The sequence below is a fragment of the Homo sapiens genome, chromosome 19 (assembly GCF_000001405.40).
Source record: "Homo sapiens chromosome 19, GRCh38.p14 Primary Assembly".
NCBI lineage: Eukaryota > Metazoa > Chordata > Mammalia > Primates > Hominidae > Homo > Homo sapiens.
In genome coordinates, this window is record NC_000019.10 from 22,229,054 (window position 1) to 22,256,364 (window position 27,311).

Consider the following 27,311-nt stretch of genomic DNA (forward strand, 5'->3'; position numbering starts at 1 on the left):
ACAAAAAGAACAAAGCTGGAGACATTACAGTACCTGACTTCAAACTATTGTAAAAGGCTACAGTAACCAAAACAGCATGGTATTGGTATCAAAACAGATATATAGACCAATGGAACAGAACAGAGGCCTCAGAAATAACACCACACATCTACAACCATCTGATCTTTGACAAACCTGACAAAAAACAAGAAATGGGGAAAGGATTCCCAATTTAATAAATGGTGTTGGGAAAACTGGCTAGCCATATGCAGAAAACTGAAACTGGACCCCTTCCTTACACCATATACAAAAATTAACTCAAGATGGATTAAAGACTTAAATGTAACACCCCAAACCATAAAAACCCTAGAAGAAAACCTAGGCAATGCTATTCAGGACATAGGCATGGGCAAAGACTTCATGACTAAAACAGCAAAAGCAATGGCAACAAAAGCCAAAATTGACAAATGGGACCTAATTAAACTCAAGAGCTTCTGCACAGCAAAAGAAACTATCATCAGAGTGAACAGGCAACCTATGGAATGGGAGAAAAATTTTGCAATCTATCCATCTGACAAAGGGCTAATATCCAGGCTCTACAAAGAACTTAAACAAATTTACAAGAGAAAAGCAACCCCATCAAAAAGTGGGCAAAGGATAAGAACAGACACTTCTCAAAAGAAGACATTTATGCAGCCAACAAACATATGAAAAAAAGCTCACTGTCACTAGTCATGAGAGAAATGTAAATCAAAATCACAATGAGATACCATCTCACAACAGTTAGAATGTAATCATTAAAAAGTCAGAAAACAACATATGCTGGGGAGGATGAGGAGAAATAGGAACACTTTCACACTGTTGGGGGGAGTGTAAATCAGTTCAACCATTGTGGAAGACAATGTGACAATTCCTCAAGGATCTAGAATCAGAAATACCATTTGACCCAGCAATCCCATTACTGGGTATATACCCGAAAGATTATAAATCATTCTACTATAAAGACACATGCACACGTATGTTTGTTGCAGCACTATTCACAATAGCAAAGACTTGGAACCAACCCAAGTGCCCATCAGTGATAGACTGGATAAAGAAAATGTGGCACATATACACCACGGAATACTATGCAGCCATAAACAAGGATGAGTTCATGTTCTTTGCAGGGACATGGATGAAGCTGGAAACCATAATTCTCAGCAAACTAACACAAGAACAGAAAACCAAACACTGCATGTTCTCACTCATAAGTGGGAGTTGAACAATGAGAATGCATGGACACAAGGAGGGGAACATCACACACTGGGACCTGTCAGCGGGTGGGGGGCTAGGAGATGAATAGTATTAGAAGAAATACCTAATGTAGATGATGGGTTGATGGGTTCAGCAAACCATCATGGCACGTGTATACCTGTGTAACAAACCTGCACATTCTGCACATGTATCTCAGAACTTAAAGTGTAATAATAAAAAAGGAAAAAAAAGAATGCTGAAGAGTTTCTTTTATTGAAAATAAAATGACTCAAGAAAATGACACATAATCATATCTATATATGAATGCATATATATGTGTATATATATGTATGTATATTATATATATGTATGTGTACATATATATGTATTTGTATATATATATATTTTTTTGAGCCGAGTTTTACTCTTGTTTCCCAGGCTGGAGTGCAGTGGCCTGATCTCTGCTCACTGCCACCTCTGCCTTCCAGTTTCATGTGATTCTCCTGCCTCAGCTTCCCAAATAGCTGAGATCACAGGTGTCCGCCACCACACCCGGCTAATTTTTTGTATTTTTAGGAGAGATGGCGTTTCACCATGTTGGCCAGGCTGGTCTCGAACTCCTAACCTCCTGATCTGCCCACCTCAGATTCCAAAAGTGCTGGGATTACAGGCATGAGCCACTGTGCCTGGCCAAAAAAAAAAGGGGGGATTATTTTCTTGGATAGATATTCACATACAAAAAAATGAAATTTCTTAGCATAATCATAATGGTGCAGAAAACATTTTTAAGTATTTTCTATAATTTGAAAAAAATTTAGAAAACAATGAAAATTTTGAGAGTAAAATCTTTGTATGCAACTGAAGTTCATCTTCTACCAGGTTAAAATGTAGTTATATCTTTTAGAAGTTTTATGTAATTTCCAAAGTACCACAAGGTATCACAAAAAAAAATCTGTATAGATATGCAAAACAAAATAAGGAAAAAGTAAAAGCATATCAGTACAAAAATCAAAACGACACAAAGGAAGACACAGAGAGAAAATTAGAGACAAAGATACAACAATCAAATGAAACAATAAAATAACATTATTAAGTCTTTCTGTTTCAGAAAGTTATTTAAACATGTATATAAAATGAACTTAATTCAGAGACATACATTTAATAAAGGAATTAGATAATTTTAAAAACCAAGATGCAACTTGCCTTTCTATAATAGAGTCATCAGAGATCTAATGATAAAAAAGACTGATAGTGGCAAGATGGATGTAGATATTCTATGCAAATATTAATTAAATTAGAGCAGAAGAGGTCAAAATAATGTTACTTTAGCTGTATCTTTATTTATTTATTTATTTTGAGATGGAGTCTTGCTCTGTTTCCAGGCTGGAGTGCAGTGGTGTGATCTTGGCTCACTGCAACCTCTGCCTCCTGGGTCCAAGTGATTCTCCTGCCTCAGCCTCCCAAGTAGCTGGGACTACAGGCGCGTGCCACCATGGCCAGCTAATTTTTGTATTTTCAGTTGAGACGGGTTTTCACCATGTTGGCCATATAGTCTCGATCTCTTGACCTTGTGATCCACCCGCCTCAGCCTCCCAAAGTGCTGGGATTACAAGCGTGAGCCACCGCGCCTGGCCTTGAGCTCTATCTTAAGTCAAAAACCGTCATATTTTATAAAATGTTTTTTTAAGTCAAAACTCTACAGAGACAAAACAAGCCATTACAAAATAATAGATTTATTTACTGGGAACCTATAACAAATTTGTATATCTGTGTGTGTGTGTGTTTTGTGCAAGTGTGTGTATGTGTATCTCACATTAGGCTTGCAAAATATATAAATCAAATATTGACAGAATTGAAGAAACACATAGAGAACAATATAGTTACAATAGCATATTTCTTTTCTTTTCTTTTCTTTTTTTTTTAGACGGAGTCTCGCTCTGTCTCCAGGCTGGAGTGCAGTGGTGTGATCTTGGCTCACTGCAACTTCCACCTCCCAGGTTCAAGTGATTCTCCTGCCTCAGCCTCCCGAGTAGCTGGGAGAACAGGCGTGCACTACCACCCCCAGCTAATTTTTGTATTTTTAGTAGAGACAGGGTTTCACCATGTTGGCCAGGATGGTCTTGATCTCTTGACCTTGTGATCTGCCTGCCTTGTCCTTCCAGAGTGCTGGGAATACAGGCATGAGCCACCACATCCAGCCTACAGTAGCATATTTCAATACCCCATTTTGTATAATAAAAATAAAACCAGACAGAATAATAGTAAGAGAACAGAGAACTTGAAGACAAGTATAAAACAATCATTCCTAACAGAGGTATAGAGAACACTCCTCAACAATATCAGGATACACAGCCTTCCCAACAGCTCATAAAACATTCTGCTTGATAGACCACCTGTTAGGCCAAAATAGAAGTCTTAACATAATTTTTAAAACTAAATTTATATGGATTACTTTCTATCACCAAAATGAAGTGACAGTATGAAACAATAATAGAAAAAAAAACCTGAAAAAAGTATAAATATATAGAAATTAACACACTATGAGCATGCTCCTGTTCAAAGGTTGAGATAAATATTTTGAAGATATCCATACTGTTCAATGTAAACTACAGATTTAATGCAATGTTCTTTAAAAGTTCACACTACATTTTGAAGAAATAGACACAGCAACTCTAAAAGTATATGGAATCTAATGAGACAATAAAATACCCAATAATCTTCAAAAAAAGAAATAATGTTAAAGGCATTACAGTTCCTGATTTTAAAACTCATTACAAATCTACAAAATTAAAACAATTTGGTGTGAGTATAAAAGTAAAAATGTAGACTAATAAAAATCAATGCAGCACATATATAAAATTTAACATATATATTCATATGAAGAATTATTTACATGCTCATAATAATTGCAGCATTGTTACAAATTTTTAGTAGAGGCCGGGTTTCGCCATGTTGCCCACGCTGGTCTCCTAGGCTCAAGTGATCCACCCATCGCTGCCTTCCAAACCGCTGGGATTACAGGTGTGAGCCATCTCACCCGGCCCAATTTATTTTCTTTTTTAAGGTTTTTTTTCTGAAAATTTTATAATATTTTGGATGGGAATGTATTGCCCTGTTTTGTATACATTGTAATCTTTGATTGATATTTGGACATTTTTTAAAAAGCTACCTGTCACAATCTTTATCACGTAGCTTTGTCCTGGCATAGTCTGAAAACAATTGTCTTTGCTAGAGATTCTGGGAGTCTTTCAAACATGTTCTTAGGATGTGTCTTGTCTGAAATTTGTTGTTTATTTTTTAGTTAAAGAAGTTTATTAATCTTTCTTCTTAATAGTCTTCACTTGCTACACCTGTTCCCTGTCTGTGGTACTGCAGTCTCTCTGCTGCTGTAACATTTACCTCTGGTCTCAGCAGACCCAAATTGTCACTCCAAAGTATACCACCATTTCATTCAGCACTTTGTCACTTTGTGACCTCTGTCTCTGCCACCATGACCATTTTGTTCATGGACCTATTGGGCAATGACAGGGGTAGCTGGGGAAAGATGCTGAGTGATGTCAACAAAACAGGTCATCCTATCCACTTGATTATCAAAATCCTCCTCTGCTGAGGTCACCCATTGGTTAGCACTCACATGGGATACAAATATCTTCACAGTTTTTGACCACTCAGGAGGTCCATCCACATACCTCTTCCCCAAATTTCTTTGTCACCAATTTTTCAATGGTGCTTCTTCCAAGTCCCTGGCAATCCAGTCAAACCATTGGCTAAAGCCCATGATTCAGTATGTAATCACACATCTGGCCATTCCTCCTTCCATGCAAAGTGCACAACCAGGTGCACTGCTCAAAATTCTGCCCACTGGGAAGACTTCCCTTCACCACTGTCTTTCAGGGATGTCCTAGAAAGGAACTGTAGCGCCACAGCTGGGTCCACTTTCAGGTGGTGCCTTCATATTATACAGAACCGTCTGTAAATGAGGCCATAGTCTTTTCTTCCTCTGTCAAATGATCATAGGGAACTCCCCATTAGGTCATCAGTGCAGGCTGGGGGAGAGAAGGCAGGGTGGCAGAAATGGAGACCATGGGCATTTGAGCCACTTCCTCATGTAACTTACTTGTGCCTTCAGAACCTGCTCAAGCCCGATCACATATATACCACATCCATTTGATGATGGAATGCTGTTGTGCATGACCCACTTTGTGGTTAGATGGGTCAGAAAGCACCCAGTTCATGATAGGCAGTTCAGGTCGCATAGTGACTTGATAAAACATAGTCAAACGTTCAGTTTTTACCAAAGCCCAGTAACAGGCCAAGAGTTGTCTCTCAAAAGGAGAGTAGTTATCTGCAGAAAATGGCAGGGCTTTGCTCCAAAATCCTAGAGGCTGCCAGGTGCAGTGGCTCATGCCTGTAATCCCAGCACTTTGGGAAGCCGAGGCAAACAGATCACCTGAGGTCAGGAGTTTGAGACCAGCCTGGCCAACATGGTGAAACCCCAAGTCTACTAAATATACAAAAATTAGCCAGACGTAGTGGTGGGTGCCTGTAATCCTAGCTACTCAGGAGGCTGAGGCAGGAGATTGCTTGAACCTGGGAGGTGGAGGTTGCAGTGAGGCAAGTTAATGCCATTGCACTCTAGCCTGGATGACAAGAGCAAGACTCCATCCAAAAAGAAGGAAAGAAAGAAAGAAAGCAAGAGAAAGAAAGAAAGAAAGAAAGAAAGAAAGAAAGAAAGAAAGAAAGAAAGAAAGAAAGAAAGAAAGAAAGAAAAGAAAAGAAGGAAGGCAGAAAGGCAGGAAGAAGGAAGTCAGGAAGGCAGGAAGGCAGGAAGAAGGAAGTCAGGAAGGCAGGAAGGCAGGAAGGAAGGAAGGAAGGAAGGAAGGAAGGAAAGAAAGAAAGAAAAAAACTCTAGAGGCCTCTGCTGTGATTCACCTGAGAAGGCTTGCCAAAGGCTGCAAATAGCATCTTTATTTTTCACCGACACCTCAAGATCCATTGGATCTCCTGGGTAATATGGCCCAAGTGGCAGAGCAGCTTGCACAGCAGCCTGGACCTGTTGCAGAGCCTTCTTCTTTTCTGGACCACACTCAGAACTGGCAGCTTTTTGGGTCACTCAATAAATGGGCCAGAGTAACACACCCAAATGAGGAATAGGTTGCCTCCAAAACCCAAATAGGCCCACTAGACATTGTGCCTCTTTCTTGGTTGTAGGATGGGCCAAATGCAGCAACTTACCTTTTACCTTAGAAGGAATATCTTGACAGGCCCTGGACCACTGGACCCCTGGAAATTTTACTGAGCTAGAAGGTCCCTAAATTTTAGTCAGACTTATTTTCCATCCTCTGGCATGCAAATGTCTCATGAATAAGTCTGGTGTGTTTGCTATTTCTTGCTCACTGGATTCGATCAGCATAATGTCATCAATGCAATGGACAACTGTGATATTTGCAAAAGCAAAAAGCGATAGAGGTCTCTTTGAATAAGATTATGACACAAAGCCAGAGAGTTAATATATCCATCAGGTAGGACAGTAAAGGTGTATTGCTGGCCTTGCCAGCTGAAAGCAAATTGCTTCTGGTGGGCCTTATGGACAGGAACAGAGAAAAGGGCATTTGCTAAGTCAATGTCTGCATACCAGGTACCAGGAGATGTGGTAATTTGCTCAAGCAATGAAACTACATCTAGTATGGCAGCTGCAATTGGAGTCATCACTTGGTTAAGCTTACGATAATCCACTGTCATTCTCCAAAATCCATCTGTCTTCTGCCAAATGAAAGAGTTGAATGGGGATGTGGTAGGAATCACCACCTTTGCGTCTTTTTAGTCCTTAATGGTGGCACTAATCTCTGAAATCCCTCCACGGATGCAATATTGGTTTTGATTTACTATTTTCCCAGGTAGAGGCAGCTCTAATGGCTTCCATTTGGCTTTTCCCACCCTAATAGCCCTCACCCTACTACTCAGGGAGCCAATGTAGGAGTTCTGCCATCTGCTAAGTATGTCTATGCCAATTTTGCATTCTGGAACTGGGGAAATGACCACAGAGTGAGTCTTGGGACCCACTTGATCAACTGTAAGTTGGACCTGAGCTAAATTTCTATTAAGTACATGACCTCCATAAGCCTCTACTTTAACTGGAGGACCACAGTGATGTTTTGGGTCCCCTGGAATCAATGTCACCTCAGAGCCAGTGTTTAATAGTCCCCAAAATGTCCAATCATTTCCCTTTCCCCAATGCACAGTTACCCCATAAAAGGCCAGAGATCTCCTTGGGGAAAGATGGGAGAAAGATTCACTGCATAAATTGTCATTAGTGTAGTGGGCTCGTTCCTCAAGGGAATCTGGCCTCTCCTTTATTCAAGGAGTTCTGGGTCTGTAAACTGGCTCAAGTCTGGAAATTGATTGAGGGGCCATGATTCTCTGTTTTTATATTTAAAATTAGTCTTTTTTCCATTTGACCTAGAAGTTTTCTGCTTGTATAAATTAAGCAGGAATGTAGTAGGTTTCCTATCAATTTTACTTCTAAGATCACTGTGATGAATCAGCCAATGCTGGAACTCTACAGAAGTCAGACTATTCTGATTGCCGTTTAGCCTCTGCTGTCCATTACAGTAGCTATGCCCACCTTGCCTTTGATGGTTGAGTGCCACCACTTGGCCCCTGCCATCATGGGATCCAATTATTCCCACTGTATTTAAATTTTGTAGTTGAGAGACCACGGTTCCCACTGTTAGATCTGACATGCAGAGAAAAGTAATTACAAGGTTCTTTAAAGATTCAGGTGCTGCTTTCACAAATCTATTTTGAAGTCAGTGGTCAAGGGTATATCTTCTGGACTTTCCATGCTGGAATTAGTAGGTCTAAAGTGACTAATCCACTCCAGTATCCCAATGTGCCTAAGCCTTTTGATTCCTCCCTCTACATTAAGCCAAGGGGCATCAGGCATTTCCAGCTCACTCACAGGGGGGCCATCTTTTAATCCATATTTCAGCTAACCAAGCAAATAAACTATTAGAAGCTTTTTTAACTCCCCAAGCTGCAACATTAAATGCAGTATTCCTACTTAGTGGGTCCAAATAAATAAATTCAGCCTGGTTCAACTCTATGTTCCTTCCACCATAATCCCACACCCTTAATATTCATCCCCAAGCCTGTTCTCCAGATATCTGTTTATATAAATTAGAAAACTCAAGCAGTTCTTTCTGAGTGTAGTGTACCTCCTCATGGGGCACACTCTCAAACTCACCTCTAGGGGGCCGCTGGGACTTTAGTCTACTTATATGCCTAGAAGCAAACAGGGGTGTTGAGGGTGGGTCCTGAGAAGAATCAACATTATTTTGCCTGGCAACTTTCTCAGGGGAGGCCATCACAGTTGCCTCAGGCAGTGCAGGGTTTATCTCAGACAAAGGTGGAAAGGCTGATGGCAGCATGCATCAGAAAGGGGATGTTGCCACTACTGGGGATGGGGAAGCTGTTTTTTCTGACAAAAAGCTCATCAGAGTTTACAAACTCAGAGCCCCTAGCTTCATCAGGGTCCTCCCATACGTCCCCATTCCAAGTGGCAGGGTCCCATTCTTTTCCAATCAGTGTCCTCACTTTAACAGTAGACACCTGGTGAGGCTGTGCATACATCTTTCATTGCAGGTCAGTCACTAACATAATAAGAGTTTGTGTGTGTTTTTCCACAATTTCATCTACAGGAGATGAGACTCTCACACAGGGCAATCTTAGCAGATTTGAGGCTCAGTAACTGCTTCTGAAGCCAAAAGATAGAATGCCTGAGTTCATCATTTTCTATCATCACTTTGTCCATTGAACTTAGGACAACCAGCTTCATTATGTTCCTTGGTTCTCCACATATGGTCAAACCTCCACCTCCCAGTTTCAAGCAATTCTCTGCCTCAGCCTCCTGAGTAGCTGGGATTACAGGCACTCATCGACACACCCGGCTAATTTTTGTATTTTCAGTAGAGAGGGGGTTTCACCATCTTGACCAGGCTGGTCTTGAACTCCTGAACTCGTGATCCACCTGCCTCAGCACCCCCAAAGTGCTGGGATTACAGGTGTGAGCCACCATGCTCAGCTGGTGAAAGGTATGTATAGAGTCACTAAACTCCTTGCCTCTCAAGAGTGATAAATCAGGAGTGTCAAATGCATTTATTTTACATAACTCTCTAAACAGTTCATCCCTAGGACTATCAGTGTTCTCCACACTATTAGAAGTAGAGTCCTTAGCATTTTTGGGTCTAATCATATTAAGCAGCCAACCCCCGAAACACCAGAATCAAAAAAAGAACTCCATCCTTAATATTCTGTTCCTCTAGAACCACTCCTGTTACCAAAATCTGTATTAGTCAGGGTTCTCCAGAGGGACAGAACTAATGGTGTGCGTATATATACATATATGTTAATTAAGTATTAACTCACACAATCACTAGATCTCACAACAGGCCATCTGTAGGCTGAGAATCAAGGAGAGCCACTCCAAGTTCCAAAACTGAAGAACTTGGAGTCTGATGTTCAAGGGCAGGAAGCATCCAGCACAGGAGAAAGATGTAGGCTGGGAGACTAGGCCAGTCTTTCTTTTCACATTTTTCTGCCTGCTTATATTCTGGCCACGTTGGCAGTTGATTAGATTGTGCCCATCCAGATTAAGGGTGAGTCTGCCTTTTCCAGCCAACTGACTCAGTTGTTAATCTCCTTTGGCAACACCCTCACAGACACATCCAGGATTAATACTTTGTATCCTTCAATCCAGTCACGTTGACACACAGTATTAACCACCACACCTAGTTAAGAGAGTCAACATCTCTCCATTTGGCTGAGTCCAGGTGAAACAGTCATCACCATTTTTCTAAGCTGAATCCAGAAATGAGTCAGCATTCTACCTGTGGGCAGATTCACATATCACAGTCACAATTCCAACTGTGAATTTTTTTTTTTTTTTTTTTTTTGAGATGGAGTCTCGCTGTGTCACCCAGGCTGAAGTGCAGTGGCACGATCTGGGCTCACTGCAACTCCTGCCTCAGCCTCCCGAGTAGCTAGGACTACAGGCACCCGCCACCATGCCCGGCTAATTTTTTTTTGTATTTTAACTAGAGACAGGGTTTCACCGTGTGTTAGCCAGGATGGTCTCAATCTCCTGACCTCATGATCCGCCCACCTCGGCCTCCCAAAGTGCTGGGATTACAGGTGTAAGCCACTGTGCCTGCCCCAAACTGTGAATTTTTTTGGTGTGTGAGATTTAGAACCTCACCAGTGGGCTCTGTTTATATGTGAAGGTGACAATACTAAGTGTTAGCTTTGTCTGCGTATTAAAGTCACAATCTCACTTGCATACTGGGCCCTGGGATAAAACTTTGGACTGCCAGAGGGCTTTATGTAATTTCCATAAGTGTCATAATCTTCTGTGACTCTCATAGGTAGGAGCTCAGGCAGGAGAGTCACAACATTTGGGTGCTGGGCTCAGAGTTATGCCACAATCCCTTTTTTGGGCATGTCTCCTGCAACAGAGAAGAGGCACATTATGTAGAAAATTGGTTCAGGGATTTGTCACAATGTCCCCTTTGGATGGTGCACAGGCAGGTGAGGAGAGTCACATCACCCAGATAATGGAACTAGCAATATATCACAATGCCCTCTGATGGAAGGACAAAGACAAGAAAGTCACATAACCTAGGTGAGAAAACCTGACATAGGTCACAATTCATGTTATGAGTAGGGATCATGGAAAAGAGGAGAGTCACATAACCTAGGGGATGCACCCAGATATATGTCATAATCACTGCAGTGGGCAGGGCCTAGGCATGAGAATCACATCACATAAATGCTGGGCCTGGCCATATGTCACAATCCCCACGGTATACAGGTCCCAGAATAAAGTAGAGTCACATCATCTACATGTTGGGACCAAAGATATGTATCAATGACACCTGTGGGCAGGGGCCAGGCAGAAGAGCCACAGCACCTGTGTGCTGGACCCTGTGATAAGTTACTATTTATCTGTTGGCATGGCCTGGTCAGAAGAGGCAAATCAAACCACCTGGGTGCTGGGCCCAGTGATATGTCTCAATGTCTTCCATAGGCAAAGCCCAGGTAACAGAGGAGACTCACATCAAATAGTTGATGGGCCCAGAGATATTTCACAATGCTCCCTGTGAGCAGGGTCCAGGCAGGAGACTCACATCACCTTTGTGCTGGGCCACTATTTTTTGTGTGAGCAGAACATAGGAAAAAGAGAAGCGTTGGCTGGGCACAGTGGCTCACGCCTGTAATCCCAGCACTCTGGGAGGCTGAGGAGGGTGGATCACCTGAGATCAGGAGTTCAAGACCAGCCTGACCAACAAGGTGAAGCCCCATCTCTACTAAAAATACAAAATACACCAAGTGTGGTGGCAGGCTTCTGTAGTCCCAGCTACTCAGGAGACTGAGACAGAAGAATTACTTGAGCCCAGGAGCGGAGTTTTCAGTGAAACAAGATCATGCTACTGCACTCCAGCCTAGGTGACTGAGTGAGACTCCATCTCAAAAAAAGAGAGAAAAGCATCACATCACCTGAGTGCTGAGCCCAGATATGTCCCAATCCCTCTGTGAGCAGAATCCATGCAGAAGAAGAGAGTCAACATACATGGATGATGGGCACAGAGATATTTCATAATGTCCCCTGTAGGAAAGGCACAGGAAGAAGTGTAACATCACTTGAGTGTTGGACAGTGCAATATGTCAAAATAGCCAATGTGGTCAGGGCACAGGCAGAAATCACATAACCTGGGTGCAGGGCCTGACAGTGCATCACAATGTCCTCTATGGGCAGAGCCAAGGCAGGAGAATAGGTCACATCAGCTAAGTGCTTGGCCAAGTGATACGTCATAATCCCTACTGGGGGCTGGACCGAGGCTGGGAAGTCAAAGCGCTCAGATTCTGGGCAGAAGCATACATCAGAATCACACCAGCAGGATGATCCTGAAATGAAATTAACAATCCCACACATGTCCCAGTTTCAGGTATGAGAGTCAACACCTTTTGTAGGTTTGGTTTAAGTACCTGCATCACAATTTCAACAATGGGCTGGATTTGTACACAAAAGACCCAATCCCTCCTGAAGACTGTGTCCCCTTAATGAAGCCACAGCCTCACAGCTGTGGGGAATCTTGGTCTGAGAGTAACCAACCCACCTATGGATCAGAGCCACATATAAGAGTTAATTCTTCAACTTCCCACTGCCTCTGAGTGGGAGATTCAGAGCCTCAACTGTGGTCTGTGTTCATGTGGAAGGATGACCATCTTTACTATTGGCTACCTGTGCATAAGAGTGTCACAATATTACCTGTGTGCTGGGCCCTGTGAGGACGGTCTCTCTATCAATCAAGGGCTTTTTATGTTATGCATGAGAGTCAGAATTTGCTCTGAGACCTCCATGCTGGTATGAACCCATGATTGTACTCATGGCCCTAAACCCATGTATGAGAGTCAACATCTCTTTAATTGACCTGCTCCGGAGAGGAGATTCCTCAATTGCCCATGAGATGGTTTTAGAAATGAGTCACCATCTCATTTGTGGTCAGGTGTTTACATATGACAGTCACAATTCCAACTGTAAGCTGCATCCATGTATGAAGTTCAAGAACTCTCCAGTACACTGTGTCCTTGTGTGAATGCAATAATCCTAATAATTGGTGGGGTGTGCACACAAGATAAACAGTCTCGTCTGTGTGCTGGGCCTGTGATGACACTCTCTGTATCACCTGAGGGCTTTATACAGTATGTGAGGGAGTGGAAATAATCTATGACCTTCCTACAAAAAGGAGACTCAGGATCTTACCCATTTCTCTAAGCTTAGCTACAAGAGACAGTATCTCTCCTGGTGACTGGTATGAGAGTTATTATTGCACCTGTCAGCCAGGCCAAGATGTATGTAACAATCCCATTTGTCAGTAGAGAGTGAGCAGGATGGTCACATCACATGAGTGCTGGGAAAGGGTAAAATCACAATCATTTTTGAGGCCAGGGACCAGGGATAAAAGAAACATCACCTTAGTGCTAGGCCAAGGGCTATGTTCCACTGTTTTCTGTGGGCAAGGTGCAGGCAAAACAAATTCATCACCTGTTGCTGGGCCCAGCGATGTGTCACAATTTTCCCTGTGGGCAAAGTGGAGGCTAAAAACAAGGGTCATATTTCTTGGGTCATGATGCAGAGATACATCACAAGGCCTCCTGTGGACAGGCCACAGGTAGAAATCGCCAATTTCCTAGGTGTTGGAGCCCACGATATGTCAAAATACACAATGTATGCAAGGCCCAAGCAGGAGAAAAGATTCACATAACTTAGATGCTGAGCCTAGCAATACATCCCAATTTCTTCTTGGACAGATCCCAAGAGATAGAAGAGTCTTATCACACAGGTTTTGGGTCTAGCTATGTGTCAAAATATTCCCTGAAGGGAGAGATCAGAAAGGAGTGTAACCTCACCTAGGTGAGAAGCCCAGAGATGTTTCTGATTCTGTGTAAGGCTCAGGAATAAGGTAAGAGTCAGGTAACCTAGAAACTAGGCTAGATTATATGTTGCAATTACCCAAGTTGGGGGGGGGCTCTCATGAGAAGGGAGTTACATTATGTAGCTGCTGAGCTAAACAATGCATCACAGTTCCCACTGTGTACTGGTCCCAGAAAGGAGAGTCCCATCATCTAGGTGATGGGCCCAGAAATCTGGCATATGCATCCTGCGGGCAAGTAACAGGCAGAAGTATCTCAGCATGTCTGTGGTAAGCCCAGTATTAAGTTACTCTCCCTTCTATGGGCATGATCCAGGCAGAAGAAGTCACATCACCTAGGTGCTGGGCCCAGAGACATATCACAATCTCTTTTGTGGGAAAAGACAAGGTAAAAGAAGAGACTCACATCAAATAGTTGATGGGTCTAGAGATATGTTACAATCTTTCTGTGGGCAGGGTCTAGGCAGGAGACTCAGTCACTGTGGTCCTGGGCATAGCACTGTGTAAAAATGCTTTATTTTGGAAGAGCCAAGGCAGAAGAATATCACCTGTCTGTTAGCCTAGTGACATGTCACAACATCCCCTGAAAACCAAACCTTGAAAGAAAAGTAGAATAATGTCAGCTAGGTGCTGGTCCCAATTATTTGTCAAAATCCTTCTTTTGAGCAGAAATTGGTAGAAGAGGATTATCAAAACACAAAGTTGACTGGTGCATAGATATGTTACAGAAAACCTTGTAGGCAGGACCAGGCCAGAGAGTTACATCACCCAGGTATCAGACTCAGCAACATGTCAAAATTGCCCATATGGGCAGGGCACAGGCAGGGGTTTTCACCTGTGTGCTGGGCTCTGTTGGAACACTTTCTGCACCGCCTGAGGGCTTTGTAGAGTGTGCATAAAAGTCACAGTCTGCTCTGAGACCTTTCTGAGCATAGTTGGCAAGGTCCAGATTACAGAGTCCCCACTCTCTAGTTGACAGGGTCTAGATCAGAGAGTCTTCACCTACCTATGTACTGCATTTATTAATGAGTCACCACCTTAATTGTGGCCAAATGTTAATATATGACAGTCACAATTCCAACTTTGAACTGTGTCCACCTGTGAGATTCAGGAGCTCACTAGCTGGCTTTTGCCATGTGTAAGGGTGACAGTCCTAACAGTTGGCAGTTTCTGCATTTTAGAAACAATCTCACCTGTGCGCTAAGCCCTCTGAAGACATTCTTTGTGCCACCCAAATGGTTTATGAAACACACCAAAGATTGGTAATTCTTTCTTTCTTCTCTTTTTTTTTTTTTTTTTTGAGAGGGAGCCTCATCTCACTCTGTCACCCAAGCTGGAGTGCAATGGCATGGTCTCAGCTCACTGCAACCTCTGCCTCCCGGGTTCAAGTGATTCTCCCACCTCAGCCTCTTGAGTAGCTGGGATTACAGGCACATGTCACCACACCCGGCTAATTTTTGTATTTTTAGTAGAGACAGAGTTTCACTATGTTGGCCAGGCTGCTCTCCAACTCCTGACCTCGTGATTCACCCACCTTGGCCTCCCAAAGTGCTGGGATTACAGGCATGAGCCACACTGCCCAGTCAGATTGATAACTCTTTATGACATTCATACAAAGAGGAGGCCCAGGATCTTACTTGTTTCCCTAGGCTACAATACAAGAGACACTATCTCCCTATTGGCTGATTCCAGGTACGGGAATCATCATAGCACCTATGAGTTGGGCCAGGATATTTGTCACAATCCCAACTATAAGTAGAAAATGAGCAGAAGAGTCACATCACCTGGGTGCTGTATGAGGAATGTCACATTTCCAGGAAGCAGGGCACAGGCAGAAGGGTCACATAACCTGGTGGCCGAGCCCAGTGATATTTTACAATGCTCCCTGTGGGAAAAGACCTGCCAGAAAAGACACATCACCTGGTTACTGGGCCCAGCGATATGTCACAATCTTCTCTATGTGCAGGATGCAGGCAGAAAAAGAGTCACATCACTTTGGTGATAGATGCAGACATATGTCACAAGGCCGCCTATGGGCAGGGCTTATTAAGTAGCCTCTGATCCAGTCCTGTAGGTGTTCGGTCCAGCTACATGTCACAATACCAAAAATATGCATGGCTCAGCAAAAGAAAAGATTTACATCACCTAAGTGCTGGATCCAGTGATATGTCACAATCCTCTTCTTTGGCATGGCCGAGGAAGAAGTAGAGAGTCACATCACCTAGGCGTTGGACCAAGCCATATGTCACAATACACAATAAATGCAGGGCTCATGAAAAGAGAGTCAGATCTCTTAGGTGTGGAACAGTGGTACATCACAATTTCTCGTTTGTCAGAGCCACATCACCTAGGTGCTTGGTCCAGTAATATGTCAAAATTCCCTTGAGAGGTGAGCCCAGGAAGGAAAGTCACATCATTTCGGTGAGAAGCCCACAGATGTGTCACTATTTTCCCTGTGAATAGGGCTCAGGAAGAAAAGGATAGTCACATCATTTAAATGATGGGCCCAGAGATGGATTACAATGGCTCCTGGGTACAAAAACAAGGCAGAAGAATTACATCACCTGTGTGCTGGGTCCAGTGATGAGTCACTTTCCCTTGTGTGGGCATGGCTTCAGCAGGAGACAAGAGTCACATCACTAAGGTTCTGGTTCCAGAGATATGTCATAATCTCTCCTATTGACAAAGCATGGGTAGGAGAGGAGAGTCAAATGAAGCAGTTGATGGGCCCAGAGATATGTCACAATGCCCCCCCCCCCACCCCCAATAGGCAGAGTACAAGCAGGTGCCTCCCAATTCTTTAGGTGTTATGGTCAGGGACATGTCACAATACTTAAAAAATGCAAGACCCAGGCAATAAAACAGAGTCACATCACCTAGGTGCTAGGTTCGGTGATATATCACAATCCCTAATTCAAGAGGGCTCAGGGAAATAAAAAGAGTCACATAACCAAAGTGATAAAGGTAAAGATATGTCATAATACTCCTGTGGGCAGAGTCCATTCAGGAGAGTCACATTACCTTGATGTTGGACCCAGCCATATATCACAATACACAGCATATCCAGGGCTCAAGCAGGGAAGAAAAATCACATCGTCTAGTTGCTGGGTTTGATGATATGTCACAATCACTTGTTTTTGCAGAACCCAGACAGAAAAGAAGAGTCACATCTCCTAGTTCATGGATGCAGAGATAAGCCAAAAGGTTCCTTGTGGGCAGGACCCAGGCAGGAGGCTCTCGTGCCCTAGGTGTTTGTCTCAGCCATACGTCACAGTACCTAATATATGCAGGGCCCAGGCAAACAAGGAGAATCATAACACCTTGGTACTAAGTTTAGTGATATGTTACAATCCCCACTTTTGGCAGGGCCAGGATGCACACACATGCGAACAAAGGCACATCACATAGGTGATTAAAAAAAGAAAAAAACATATGTCATAATACCCCTGTAGGCAGGGCCCATGCAGAAGAGTCTCATCAACTAGGTTTTAGACCCAGTTATTTGTCACAATACACAATTTATGCAAGACTCAGACACAAGAGGAAAGTCATGTAACCTAGGTGCTGGGTCCAGTGATACATTAGAATCTCTCCTTGGGTAGAGTCCAAGCAGTAGAAAAGAGTTACATTACCTGGGTACTTGCTCCAGGAATATGTCACAATACCTCCTGAGGAAAGAGTCCAGGAAGGGGAGTCACATCACCTAATTGAGGGGCCCAAAGATATATTTCCCAGTGCTCCTTGCAGGTAGAGCTGGGGATAATCAAAAGAGTCACATAACCCAGGGGCTGAGCCCAGCTATATGTCACAACTACCCTAGGTGCAAGTCTCTGGTATGAGAGAAGAGTCACATTACATAGGTACTGGGCCAAGTAATATGTCACAATCTCCACTGTAGGAAGGTCTCAGGAAAAGAGAAGAGTCACATTATCTGGGTGATGGGCACAGGAACGTATCACAATTACCCTAGACAGAAGCGTTACATCACCTGTGTGTGAGGTCCAGTGATAAGCCACTCTTCCTTTTGTGCACAGGGTCCAAACAAAAGATGAAAGTCACATCACCTAGGTGCTGGGCTTCCAGAATTGTCTCAATCCCTCCTATGGTCAAAGCCAATTTAAGAGACAAGAATTATATTAGCTGCTCTGCCTATGGAGCAGCTTTTTTTGTTTGTTTGTTTCTTTACTTCTCTAATAAACTTGCTTTCATTTTACTGCATGGGATCACCCTGACTTCTTGGGGTCTGGATTAAAAGCCCTTTTCAGTAACAGCTTTCTGGCAAATTATAAAGGGACTATACTGAGGAGAAAACTGAACCAAAGGAAATAAACTGCAGCACCAATTAGCCAACTTTGGGTAACTAGTGGGGTATATTCTACCAGGGTAAAAAATGGGATTGGGTTAGAGGCCCAATATAGAAGCAGTACAGTCTCTCCTAAGACATATTGGGTTAAAGACCTCTCTTAATAAAAAGCTTGAGGACCCAGTTATGAAGGTTCAAGTCCTTTCTAAGATTTAAGGGGTTGGCCAGGCACGGCGGCTCATGTCAGTAATCCCAGCACTCTGGGAGGCTGAGGCAGGTGGATTACCTGACGTCAGAAGTTCGAGACCAGCCTGACCAACATGGAGAAAACCCATCTCTACTAAAAATACAAAAACTAGCTGGGCGTGTTGACATATGCCTGCAATCCTAGCTACTCAGGAGGCTGAGGTGGGAGAATCACTTGAACACGGGAGGCAGAGGTAGCGGTAAGCCAAGATCGTACCATTGCACTCCAGCCTGGGCAACAAGAGGGAAACTCTGGCTCAAAAAAAAAAAAATTTAGGGGGTTAGAGGCCCCTCTCAGTAATGTCACTCTTGGTTAAAAAATCGACGAGGCAGGCCAGGCACGGTGGCTCATGCCTGTAATCCCAGCTACTCAGGAGGCTGAGGCAGGAGAATGTCTTGAACCTGGGAGGCAGAGGTTGCAGTGAGCCAAGATCGTGCCACTGCACTTTTTAGATTAATTTTCCCTGTGCTCTTTGCTGACAGTTGTGCGTGACACGATTAGGCATGTACAGGATCATAAGACATGGGGAGCTTCTATTCTCCTCAAAAGGGGAAACTTTAGGTATATCTCCTAATGCTATCCCTCCCCCCTCCCCCTACCCCACAACAGGCCCCAATGTGTGATGTTCCCCTTCCTGTGTCCAAGTGTTCTCATTGCTCAATTCCCACCTATGAGTGAGAACATGCGGTGCTTGGTTTTTTGTCCTTGTGATAGTTTGCTGAGAATGGTGGTTTCCAGCTTCATCCATGTCCCTACAAAGGAAACGAACTCATCATTTTTTTATGGCTGCATAGTATTCCATGGTGTATATGTGCCACATTTTCTTAATCCAGTCTATCATTGTTGGACATTTGGGTTGGTTCCAAGTCTTTACTATTGTGAGTAGTGCTGCAATAAACATATGTGTGCATGTGTCTTTATAGCAGCATGATTTATATTCCTTTGGGTATATACCCAGTAATGGGATGGCTGGGTCAAATGGTATTTCTAGTTCTAGATCCCCGAAGAATCACCACAGTCTTCTATAATGGTTGAACTAGTTTACAGTCCCACCAACAGTGTAAAAGTGTTCCTATTTCTCCACATTCTCTCCAGCACCTGTTGTTTCCTGACTTTTTAATGATCACATGTAACAAACCTGCACGTTGTGCACATGTACCCTAGAACTTAAAGTATTTTATATATATTAAAAGAAAGGGGGAAACTTGAGAGCTAATGAAATTGCTGGAAAAGATCCCTTCATGACTGAGAAGTCACCGCCTGAATTTCTCAGTGCCGCTGCAATGGGTGGGTCTTTCACTGGCGTCCCTGAGCTCCTCCCTTTCCCCAACCTGCCTCAGGCAATGCTTTTCTTTCCTTCTCTCCTCTTTCTTTCTTATCTTTTCTGTTATTTAGTGCAACTGTCCTTTGTGGTTTTTTGTTTGTTTGTTTGTTTGTTTTGAGATGGAGTTTCACTGTTGTTGTCAGGGCTGGAGTGCCATGGCGCATTCTTGGCTCACCACAAACTCTGCCTCCTGAGTTCAAGTGATTCTCCTGCCTCAGCCTCCTGAGTAGCTGGGATTACAGGAACTTGCCACCATGCCTGGCTAATTTTTGTATTTTTAGTAGAGACAGGGTTTCACCATGTTGGTCAGGCTGGTCTCGAACTCCTGACCTCAAGTGATCTGCCCACCTTGGCCTCCCAAAGTGCTGGGATTACAGGCGTGAGCCACCACACCCGGCCATGTGTGATAGTTATATATGAAAGAGTTCTGATTAATTGGCTTAAAAATAATAAATGCTTAAGTCTAATTTTTTTTCAGAAAAGGAACAAACGTAATGCCTTTTATCTCATGTGACATAAGTAATCTTTGGGAACTAAAAGCAGTTTTACATGCAAGGTGTGTAAGAAAAGTAGAATGTGCTTTTGGTAAATGATCATAAGATGGCATAAAAATGTTAATTTTTTTGGCCTAGTTTAGAGGGCTAAAGAGTTGTTTTAAGTTAGGATTGAGCTGAAGGTTTGAGCAAGTTTTGGAAGGTTTGTAAAAATTAAGCTTGTAAAAAAAATTCTGTGTGTGAACATATTGGCTAAAGTTAAAGAGATATTATTCAGTTTTTTTTGTTTTTTCTTTTTTGTTTTTGAGACAGAGTTTCGTTCCTGTTGCCCAAGCTGGAGTGCAGTGGCGCAATCTCAGCTCACCGCAACCTCTGCCTCCCAGGTTCAAGTAATTCTCCTGCCTCAGCCTCCCTAGTAGCTGGGATTACAGGCATGTGCCACCATGCCCAGCTAATTTTGTATTTTTAGTAGAGACGGGGTTTCTCCATGTTAGTCAGGCTGGTCTCAAACTCCTGACCTCAGGTGATCCATCAGCCTTGGCCTCCCAAAGTGTTGGGATTACAGGCGTGAGCCACCATGCCTGGCCTGTATTCAGTTTTTTTAAATAAATTAAACATTGGAATATAAGTACAACGGGTTTTTTTTTTTTTAAAGCACAGATCTGTTCCTTAACAAAAATTGCAGAGTTATTAAACGTTTATGAAAATCTTGCCTTATGGTCAAACTGATTAAGATTGGATAGACTTGTATATAAGATTTTATTAAAAACTTGTTTTGGCCAGGTGCAGTGGCTCACACCTGTAATCCCAGCACTTCAGGAGCCAAGGAGGGAGGATCACTTGAGGTCAGGAGTTTGGGACCAGCCTGACTAACATGGTGAAACCCGTCTCTACTAAAAATACAAAAATTATCCAAGTGTGGTGGCACATGCTTGTAACCCCAAATACTAGGGAGGCTGAGGCAGGAGAATTGCTTGAGCCCAGGAGGCGGAGGTTTCAGTGAGCCAAGATCATGCCACTGCACTCCACCCTGGGTGACAAGAGTGAAACTCCATCTCAAAAAAAAAAAAAGAAAAAACTGGGTTTGAAATCAATAGTACACTAATTCATACGTGAAATGTAGGCTTCTCTTTTAAACAAGATTTTTATATTATATTTTGAAAAATGAAAAATTTTTGTCTGCCTTTTGAATAAACTACAAGAAAAAAAAGACAGGAGACAAATAGTTTGGAAAGCTAAGTCTTTATCAAAAAGGAAAGGTTTTTGCCTTTTTAATAATCTTTAAGAAGGCAAGTTATTTTTATTATTATTTTTGAGATAAAGTCTCACTCTGTTGCCCAGGCTGGATTGCAGTGGCGTGATTACCTCACTCCAACCTCCACCTCCCGGGTTCAGGTGATTCTCATGCCTCAGCCTCCTGAGTACCCGAGATTATAGGAACACATTACCCTGCCCACCTGTTTTTTGTTTGTTTGTTTGTTTGTTTTTTGGTCATTGTTTGTTTGTTTTTGAGATGGAGATGGCTTCCAACTATGTCTACACAGTCCCTGTGCAGGGTTCCTGACCCATGGTAAGTAAGGAATGTCATTTCTTTTTTTTTTTTTTAAGACAGAGTTTCCTTCTATCACCCAGCCTGGGGTACAATGGTGTGATTTCAACTAACTGCAACCTCTGCTTCCCAGGTTCAAGTGATCCTCCTGCCTCAGCTGCCTGAGTAACTGAGACTACAGGTGCATGCCACGACACCCAGCTAATATTAGTATTTCATGTCAAGATGGGTTTTCACCATGTTGAGCAGGCTGGTCTCAAACTTCTGACCTCAGGTGATCCACTCACCTTGGTCTCCCATAGTGCTGGGATTACAAGTGTGAGCCACTATGCCTGGCCAGGAATGTCTCTTTCTGACAGAATCAGGAGCCTGAAGTTGTCTTGGGACCCCAAGAAGAGAGAAATTCACCCAACTCACAGGTATCTGATGGTACAAACCCATGGCTGGGCTTGGCTTTTAAAAAGTCTTTTCTGATATTCCTTTAATGGAACATAGTTATATCAAAGCCAATTTTAAAAACCTATGTGAAAAATAATTATTTTTGCTGCACTTTATACAAATAATCAGGCCAACTATAAGACTAAAGCTTTTTATGCAAGTAAATCAGTTTTACCATGATTTGTCTTTAGTAGAAATGGAAGACTGGAGAGAGAAAAAAATCATGTTTCAAGAACTATGGTACACCTGTTGTTACACACTAGTCTCATTTGTTGTTTTTGAGTATTTTCCCTGCTATTTAGACTAATTCTGCTTATTCCTTTGAACACACCAGTGATCTCTGACTGCAGCTCAAAAGAAACAAGAGAGATGGGTAATATAAAAATCCAGATCAGGCACCAGGCACGGTGGCTCATGCCTGTAATCCCAGCACTTTGGGAGGCCGAGGTGGGCAGATCACGATGTCAGGGGTTCGAGACCAGCCTGGCCCACATGGTGAAACCCTGTCTCTGCTAAAAATACAAAAATTAGCCGGGCGTGGTGGCACGTGCCTGTAATCCCAGCTACTGAGGAAGCTAAGGCAGGAGAATCACTTGAACCTGGGAGCCAGAGTTGCAGTGAGCCAAGATTGCACCACTGCACTCCAGCCTGGCCGACAGAGCAAGACTCCATCTCAAAAAAAAAAAAAAAAAATCCGGATCACTAATCTAATTCTGAACACATATTGGAATCAGGTAGCAAACCCATATCAGCTTCTTCCCAACATTTGCCCTTATTTAGTTTACTTGGGATAATTTTACTTATTTTACTTTACTTGGGATAATTTTACTTATTTTACTTTACTGTTGTGGATTATATTGTTGTTGTGCTCTTTGTGTAGAAATGCAAGATAAGCTTGCTCAATGTTTTCTTAAGTAGAACACTTAATTTTGCAGATATCAACATTTGTTAAGAACTCAAGACTTATAAATGATCCTTGTAATATTGATGCTTTCTCACCTGGCTGGGCATGGTGGTTCACGCCTGTAATCTTAACACTTTGGGAGGCCAAAGCAGGTGGATTGCCTGAGATCAAGAGTTCAAGACCAGCTTGGCCAACATGGTAAAACCCTGTCTCTACTAAAAATAGAAAAATCAGCTGGGCATGGTGGTGGGTACCTGTAATCCCAGCTTCTCATGAGGCTGAGGCAAGAGAATCGCTTGAACCCAGGAGGCGGAAGCTGCAGTGAGCTGAGATCGTGCCACTGCATTCCAGCCTGGGCAACAGAGTGAGACTCTGTCTGAAAAAAAAAAAGAAAAGAAAGTAGGAAAGAAAGAAAGAAAAGAAAAAAAAAAAAGAAGAGTCAAATCACCTAGGCGCTGGGCCCAGAGATACTCTATAACCCCTCACTGGGCACAGCCAAAGCAGGAGAAAAATTTACATAACCTAGATGCTGGGTACAGCAGTATGTCCCAATACCCCTTGAAAGAAGGGTGAGCCAGAGAGTAATATCACCCATGTGAGGGACCAAAAGGTATGTTACAATGCCTTCTGTAGGCAGAGGACAGGGTGGAGGATTACATCACCTTCATGTTGGACTCAGCAATATGTCACAATGGCCCATGTGGGCAAAACACAGGCACGAGAGTCACATAACCTAAGTGCGAGGAGCCACAATATGTCAAAGTTGTCTCTATGGGCAGAACCAAGACATTGACTAAGCGCTGGTGCAGAAAGATGTCACTACCCAGTCTGTGGGCTGAGCCCAGGCAGGAGCATAAAATTGCTCAAGTGCTAGGCTGAGGTATATGTCACAGTCACAGCTACATGAAGGTCCAGAGATGAGATTAACCATCCTGATCATGTCTTGGTTCTAGGTATGAGAGGCACCACCTCCTGTATGTTGGGTATAGGTGTATAACCCACAATCTCAACAGTTTGCTGAATCCATCCATAAGAGCCTCAATCCCTCCTACAGACTGTGTCCCTTTAGTGGAGTCAAAGCCTCACAGATATGCTGGATCTTGGTCTTAGTGTCACCAACCCACCTGTGAACCGAATCCATGTATGAACCAGTTTTCCATCTTCAACTTTCTTTGGATGTGAGATTCAGAACCTCAACAGTCAGCTGTGTTCATGTGGAAGAATGACAATATTTACTGCCAGCTGGGTACATATATGAGTGTCATAATCGCACCTCTATACCATGCTCTGTTAGGACACCCTTTGTATCACCTGAGGGATATGTATATATGATAATGGGTGTGTGTGTGTGTGTGTGTATATATATATATATATATATATGATAATGTGTATATATATATATGATAATGTATATATATATGATAATGTGTATATATATATGATAATGTGTGTATATATATGATAATTTGCATATATATATGATAATGTGTATATATATGTATATATACACATTAAAGTCACAGTATGCTCTGAGACTTTGTGCATCTACAGACTCATGATCCTACCTGTGGCCCCAAACCCAGGACTAAGAGTCAACATCTCTCCATTGAATGCATCCAGGTAGAAAGGATCTAACTTGCCAGAATTAGAAATGAGTCACCATGTCAACTGTAGCTGGATGTTCACATATGACGGTCACAATCCAAACTGTGGGCTGTGTCAATGTGTGAAATTCAGGACCTCTCCAATGGGGTCTGTCCATCTGTGAGGGCGACAGTCTTAACAGTTGGTGGTATGTGCATATAAGAAACACAGTCTCACCTGTTTAGTGTGCCCTGTAATGACACTTTCTGTACCACTCAAGGGCTTTATATAATATGTAAAAAATAGTAGTCTTTTATGACCTTAATACATAGAGAAGACCCATAATCTCTCTCATTTTCCTAAGTCTGGTTATGGGAGACAGTATCTCTTCTATTGGCTGGTTTGAGGTATAAGAGCATTTAATAAACCTGTGAGCTGGACAAAATATATGTCACAATTCTACCTGTGGGTAGGAAGTGAGCAGCAGATTCACATCACATAGGTTTTTGGCAAAGATATGTCACAATCTTTCCTGAGGTCAGAAACCAGGCAGAAGTCATATCACCTAGGTGTTCAGCCACAGATATATTACAATCCCCTCTTAAAGCAGAGTACAGGCAGCAGAGTCATTTCACCTGGGTGCTGAGCCCAGTGATATGTCAAAATGCTCTCTGTGGGCACAGCCTTGGCAGGAGAGACACATCATCTGGTGACTGGGTCCAGCAATACATTACAACATTTTCTGTGGGCAGGATGCAGGCAAAAGAAGAGAGTCACATCTCTTAGGTGATGGAGGAAGAGACATCTTACAAGGCCCCTCATGGGCAGGGCACAGGCAGGAGCCTCCCACCCTGAAGGAATGATGCCCAGCTATATGTAACAATACCCAAGATATGCTGGGCCCAGGGAAAACAGAAGAGTAGCATCACTTAAGTGCTGGGTTTAGTGATGTGTCAAAATCCCCCATTTTGTCAGGGCCCAAGCAGAAGAGAAGAGTCACATCACCTAGGTGATGAATGAACAGATATGTTATAATACCTCTGTAGGCAGGGCCCAAACAGATTTGCATCACAAAAGTGTTTGGTCCAGGCAGGAGAGGAAAGTCACGTCACCTAGGTGTTAAGCCCAGTGACATATCACAATCTGTTCTTGGGCAGAGACCAAGAAGTAGAGGAAAGTCACTTCCCCTGGGTTCTAGGGCCAGCAAAATGTCACAATGCCCTCTGTGGAAAGTGCTAAGGCAAAAGTGTAGTCTCACACCACCTAGATGCTGGGTTCAGTGATATGCCACAATTTCACCTGTAGGACCTAGGCAGAAGGGTCAAATCACTCAGTTGCTGGGAAGAGCTGTATGATACAATCACACATGCAAGATGGTGTAAGAATGAGATTAACGATCCCATACATGATCTGGTTCAAGGTACGAGAGTCAATACCTACTGTATGTTGTGTCTAATTACACGAGTCACCATCTCAAAGGTGAACTGGATCTGTGTATTAAATCCTCAATCCCTCCCATGAACTGTGTTCCCTCAGTGGAGTCAGAGGCTCACAGGTGTGCTGAATCTTGGTCTGAGAGTCACCAACCCATCTGTGGACAAGATCCATGTATGTGATTCAATTTTTCAACTTTCAACTGCCTTTGGGTGTGAGGTTCAGAACCTCAAAATTGGCTGGGTTCATGTGGGAAAATGACAATCTTTACTATTGTCAGGGTGCGCACAGGAGTGTCATAATCTCACCTGTGTGCTTGGCCCTTTAGGACACTCTCTGTACTACCCTAGGGCTTTACATGGTTTGCATGAGAGCCACAATCCAGCTTGAGATTTTCATGCTGGTATAAACCTATGATTGTATCTGTGTCTCTAAGCCCAGTTATGAGAGTCAACATCTCTCCAATTTTCTGGGTTCAGATAGGAGAGCCCTCACTTTCCTATGAGCTGCATTTAAAAATGTTTTGCTATCACTGGGTGCAGTGGCTCACACTTGTAATGCCAGCACTTTGGGAGGCTGAGGTGGGTGAATCACAAAGTCAGGAGATCGAGACCATCCTGGCTAACACGGTGAAACCCTGTCTCTACTAAAAATACAAAAAATTAGCCAGGCGTGGTGGCGGGTGCCTGTTGTCTCAGCTACTCAAGAGGCTGAGGCAGGAGAAGGGCATATACCTGGGAGGCAGAGCTTGCAGTGAGCCGAGATAGTGCCACTGCACTCCTGCACTCCTGCACTCCAGCCTGGGTGACAGAGCAAGACTCCATCTCAAAAAAAAAAAAAAAAATAGTTTTGCTATCCCAAATCTGGATGGACGGTCACATATGACAGTCACAATTCCAACTGTGGACTGCATCCATGTGTGGGATTCACAATTGCAGTCTGTCCACCTGTGAGGGTCACAATTTTAACAGGTGCTTGGTTGTCCATACATGCAAGTCAATCTCATCTGTGTGCTGGGCTCTGTGATGACACACTGTGTACAATCCAAAGGCTTTATACCATAGGTGAGAGTGTGGTAATCCCCTCTGACCTTCATAAAAATAGGAGACCCTGAATCTTACCAATTTTCCTAAGCCTAGCTATGAGAAGCAGCATATCAACTGTCGTCTGGTTTAAGATATGAGAGTCATCATCTCACCTGTGAGATGGGACATGTAACCTGTGAGTAGGTAGTGAGTAGGAGAGTCACATCACCTGAGTGCTTGGCCAGAGATTTGTACAATATTCCCCGCTAGAAGGGACCAGGCAGGAGAGGACTATCACCTGGGTGC

The 27,311-nt window shown here is 43.1% G+C and overlaps 1 protein-coding gene across 20 annotated transcripts in view; it reads right to left on the reverse strand.

The window, feature by feature from the left end:
- ZNF676 (zinc finger protein 676) overlaps positions 1-27,311 on the reverse strand; it is an 81,216-nt gene that overhangs the window by 49,965 nt on the left and 3,940 nt on the right. For 3 of the 20 annotated variants that reach the window (XR_007066660.1, XR_007066659.1, XR_007066661.1), the window contains 6 exons: positions 25,987-26,137; positions 18,922-19,005; positions 17,692-17,803; positions 17,336-17,371; positions 16,725-16,980; positions 14,204-16,379 (listed from right to left, as the gene is read on the reverse strand). The gene's annotated coding sequence lies outside the window, so the exon portion shown is untranslated. Of the gene's footprint in view, positions 1-9,812; positions 10,101-10,144; positions 10,716-14,203; positions 16,380-16,724; positions 17,672-17,691; positions 17,804-18,921; positions 19,006-25,986; positions 26,138-27,311 lie in introns of those variants that run through there. The other 17 variants (XR_007066663.1, XR_007066662.1, XR_007066655.1 and 14 more) reach the window with 17 other exon arrangements.